Here is a 5,513-nt window from a genome sequence, read left to right as displayed (position 1 = left end):
GCATTTCTTATTCTTGTTTTTTCTTTTTTGAGACAAGAGTCTTGCTCTGTCACCCAGGCTGGAGTGCAGTGGTGCCATCTCAGCCCACTGCAGCCTGCATCTCCCTGGTTCAAGCAGTTCTCCTGCCTCAGCCTCCTGAGTAGCTGGGATTACAGGTGCTGACCACCATGCCCATCTTAACCACATGGAAATTTTAAAAAAGGCCCGTTTTCTTACACTTCTTTCCATTCACAAGTAGATTAAGATTTATAAAATTCATATAGAGAAAATTTAATTGTTATGAAGTCCACAATTTCTACATCTTCACCATTCTCAGTAGTGACAAACATCTTGGAAAGTGCTCTCCTTCACCAGGCACAACTGTGCTAAGTTGCATATTTTGTATGATTTCATGGAGGAGGAAACAAGAATGTTCCATGTTTATTTCAGAAAAATCAGCATTATATTTTAGAATAAAAGAAACTGTTAGTGGATATATGGTACTGTTTTAAGTAATATACATTTATTATTGAAAAATTAATGAATAATTATTTCAATTATTTATTTCAGTATTCAATTGAATATTCAATGAATAATATTCAATTATTTCAATAATTATTTTGATTTTCTCTGGCAAAACTTTTGTTTCATATACATTTGTATTATTTTTACTTTTGCATAGATCTTTCTACTATCACTTTTCAATCATTTTTCTCTTTTTGCACCCTTTTCTTCCATGTACTTATTAGACTTACATTACCTCAATTGAAATATTTATCTTTGAGCGCTATAAGCCCATTGTAATGGGCCTCAGAGACCCTTTTCACAAGATGGCATCGAAGGAGAAGAAGGAAGCTCCTACCCCTCCTAAAGCAGGAGCCAAAGCAAGGCTTTGAAGGTCAAAGTCAAGTAGGCAATGTTGAAGGGTGTCAAGAGTTACAAAAAAAATAAGATCCATATGTCACCCACCTCCCGGCGGTCCAAGACACTGAAACTCTGGAGGTAGCCCAGATATCCTCAGAAGAGTGCCGCCAGGAGAAACAATCTTGACTACTATGCTGTCATCAAGTTTCTGTTGACCACTGAGTCTGCCATGAAGAATATAGAAGACAACAACATGCTTGTATTCATTGTGGATGTTAAAGCCAACAAGCACCAGATCAAACAGGCTGTGAAGAAGCTCTATGACATCGATGTAGCCAAGGTCAACACCCTGATTAGGCCTGAGGGAGAGAAGGCATATGTTCAACTGGCTCCTGATTACGATGCTTTGGATGTTGCCAACAAAATTGGGTTCATGTAAACTGAGTCCAACTGGCTAATTATATATGTATATATCATTTCACCAGAAAAAAAAGAAATAGTTATCTTCTATTGAAAAAATGCCAAACAGTAACATCCTTTGAAAGCCTTGCAGGTAGAAGTAGCCTATAAATTTCTTTTAAGTATGAATTTTTAAAGAGTAGATTAAAATATACTCCTAAAAATAGAACTTCTATTCATGTACATGTTAGGATAAAATTATTCTAATATGCAGTGATATAAAGTCCCGCCCTCTAGATATCCAAACACGATGAGGAAAGTAATAAAATGCTAGACCAACCACACAATTCACCACTTGACCATAGCCAGTACTAGGTGAACACGTCCTACCTGGTAACTATTGTATGTGACAATTCCCCTTGTCAATCTTCTCTTTTATTTCACCAAACTATAAAAAATTCTAAGTAGAGCAAAGAAAAGAGGTACAAAACAAAAGAGGAATCTATAATTCGTGTCTACAGTTTCATTTACTTATATATTTTTTATGATGTACTAAAACACTCCTTCTACTAGGAAAAGTAAGAGTGACTACAAACCTGTTATACCAAGAGAATGCATTTATAAAAATAGATATGTCTTATAATAAAAAAGATTCATTACTGGACATGTTAAATGAGATATACCAATAAAAATACCACAAGAATATTAATGCCATTCTGACAGGTTTTATTAGAGAAAGGCTCTTAAATCTAAAATCAAAGTGAGGATTTGTTTTCTAATGATAAAAATGAAGAGTAGTGAATTCTAGAATATTTTGGATATAATACCTCAACTTCTTTTTTTATATTAATTGTGGGACAAAACAAATTTTAACATACATTACCAATTTACTTGCCCTCATAGTATATAAACAGTTAATAGGTAAACATCAGTTTATTTTCTATATAAAATCATCTAAATGTTTGATCTATTGTTTTATTATTTCCTTCCAAATTAGTGTATATAAACCATTGCCAATATATAGCATGCATGTCAAAGGCATTTCTGGATACTTTTAGGTCATCTGAAGCAGCAAGCTCAAGAAAATTAAACTAAGGTAGAAATTATGTTTAAGACATAGTCATATTTCTTCTTGACTTTATCTTATATTTCTGATAAGTACCATTGCCTATCTTTTTTTGCATACATCCACTTTTATGATACCACTAATTTGACTAGTCTTTACTACATATTTTACTTTATGATTTATTTGCATTTTATCATTTAAAAATTTGCTTCTCCTAGTCTTTGCATGCGTTTGTTCACTTTTTCAATGTGGGTTCAGCTCACAGTTGAGAGGAAAAATTCAATGATGATTAATGTGTTGTTTAATAACTTCATTAATGTAATATTTTTGAGCATATACGATTTGGTAGTCACTTAGGTACCACTGGTTTGAAAAAGTTTTCAATAAATTATAAATGAATGATAACTTTCTTATTTTCCTGAACCTAGAATGATTATATTATGAAAACATAGTTTTTAATTAGCAATGAAGCTCTTTCCTGGAATATGTGGGGAAAAATTTTTGAGAATAGAGCACCAATGCTATTTCTTAGTATTTCTTATCAATTCCAAATAACCACCCTCTCTTTGAACAAATTGTTTTTAACGTTAAGGGCACTGGAAAACATAATGAGATCTCTCATCCTTATATACCCAAATGTTGGTTCTCTCAAGTAATGAGACTATCACAAAATATCTGAAACAAACCACAATAACCACCAAATCCCACTCAGCTGAATTTATTGCAAACTAAAGTAAGAGAACATTATATTGACCAGACACAGTCACTTCTAGAAGAACAAACTACTGACTTTTATAGAGATTTGTGAGAATGTATTAAACAGAGATCAGGGATTGGCAAACTTTCATAAGTGTGAGTACATTAATGTCAACTGCAGAAGCATGAGGCTCTTGATTTGTTGACATTGTGAAATGTATTCATTTGGAGCAGGGCCAACTACATAATTTAAAAGGCTCAGTACAAAATTCAAATGTAGGGTCTCTCTTTCAAAAGCTAGAAAAAGAACCCTTTTTCCTTTCTGCCATGATCTCTGTTGATCTTTAAGAGTGTTATTATTTTACTATATGATGTTACACCACAGTGTGGACAGTAAATGTAGATCCTTACAGGAACACTGAGTAGGACTAGAGGAGAAGGCAGCTGAGAACCATCGCAGGGATGCGGAGTGGCAGTGGGTGATGGGACCATTAATGAACCAAAGATCTAAGCCCCTGACTCATACTTTGTTGTCCCATTGGACTTCATTTTTTTGTTGAAAACTGGACATTTTATATACTGTATTGTAACAAGTGGGGATCACATTCTTCCACATCGTGCCCCACCCCCATCAAGGTCTGTATTACACTTTTTGTTTTCATTTGTGTTATTTGTTGCTGGGATATATTTTTTTAATTTTTTACTCATTATTTAGCATAATTCTTGAAACAAATTTGTAGTTTCTGTATTCTTTCCAGTGTGTTACCCCTGAGTTCTCTGTTGGCTTTATTATTATTATTATTATTTTTAATTTTAATCTTGACTTCTTAGGTGTCATGCTTTATTCAGTGTAATTTAATGTGAGCTGATGATTGCTTGGGAGATTTTTTTATTTCATTGTCTTTGTATATTTCACTCTGTGAAAAGATGACCTGAGTGATAAGGCATGCCTTCAAACTTTAGACAGTTTACAAGACAAACTTAGCTTGCACTTTCTTCTGCAAAGCTTCAGGGTCAATCAACGGTGATCCACTGGTGCCGTCTTCTGTCTCAGGTCTTCTCCGGCATGTGCACTGGCTTGCACAAGCATACAATCTTTTAGATTCCTAGGAATAACTGGACACTTTTCAAAGTATCCTATGGTCATCTACTTCCCCAGGATTTCCTTTTAAAGATGTGTGCAGGCTCTCATATGGCCCAACTAAAATCACAACTTTATGTAAGTGAGATATGACCAGTAGTTTGCTATTTTATGGGTAATATCCTAGTGTTAGACTCTCCTCCCTCTTTTGAGAGGAGTTCTAAATCAAATCAAATAGCTACTGTACTCTAAGAATATATATTTTCCAGTGAACTTCAAATGTAGACAAAATGTTGATAGCCCTCTGGGGATGGTGCTTTTAACAGAGGTCTAAGAGTGTTTAGGGATCTTTCTCTCTCAATCTGTTTCTCTCTCTGTCTGTCTTTCTCTTTTGCTGTACTGCTGGCTTTTGTCTACTGTACCACTGAACTGGAAAAGGAAGGGGAATGGGGAAACATCACAGAACCTGCTCTTTTACCAAGGTTCAGTAGTATCTTTCAGATAGATTATTTTCCTACCTTTATGTAGTTGTGTTAATTGTCAGAGTACTAAAATGGTTGATTTTAGTTGATTTGCCCACATTTTAATGGTTTTAGAGGGAGAACAAGTTCACTGAGATCCTCACTCCACCATTTTGGAAGTTTATCTCTCTATGGAGACTTCTTGTAGTAATAGCAGTGACTTTCCGTCAAGAGACACTGCTTTTTAGTATTAACTCTATAGGAAAGGAATCAAGAGAATGAATACCCTGACCTTATTTTATTTGAACTCCTTCCTGTGTTCTCCTTTGGCCAAACTAATCAGAAGTCAGAAACCACAGGCATCTCATTATTCATCCATGCAAACCAGTCTTCAAAGGAATAGAAAAGAGAAGAAAATTGTTAAAAAAAAAAACAGATAATTTGAGAATTATCATCTACAATGACATAATTTCTTTGAATAATATAAAGTATATATTAATTTGAAATACAGTGACATTAATTTTTTCTATTAATGAAGTTAGAAAAGTTAGAAATCAGCAGTAGATTCCAATAAACTAAGTTCACTTTGTTATTGCAAAACAAGATATTAGAAAAAATTAAAACCATAGTTAGCTAGATAAGATATAAAAATGAGTTTTTGTACCAATAAAAGAGCAGTTATAGACTATTTGTTTGAATTTTTGCCTTTAAATTGCCTCTCTGAAGTCTTCCTATATTGGGAGTAATTGAAGATGCTCCTATCCCATTGAACATAATCATAGCAAGAAATTGTAGTCTGCAGTACTCCTGTAGGACCATGTTTTCATTTTTGCATTTAAATTTGAACACTGTGTAATCAAAAATTTATGAGCAGACTGGGGAAAGTTGAGTGAATATTTTGAGTGAAATGATTAAAGAACCTTGAGAAATTATTTATGTGGCAAGATAAAAAGTGTTCAATATGTAC

General features: G+C 33.8%; 1 pseudogene; it reads left to right on the top strand.

The window, feature by feature from the left end:
• Positions 874–1,327, top strand: RPL23AP44 (ribosomal protein L23a pseudogene 44; annotated as a pseudogene).

This window comes from Homo sapiens, chromosome 5 (assembly GCF_000001405.40).
Source record: "Homo sapiens chromosome 5, GRCh38.p14 Primary Assembly".
Lineage (NCBI taxonomy): Eukaryota > Metazoa > Chordata > Mammalia > Primates > Hominidae > Homo > Homo sapiens.
This window is presented reverse-complemented; position numbering and strand designations above follow the sequence as displayed.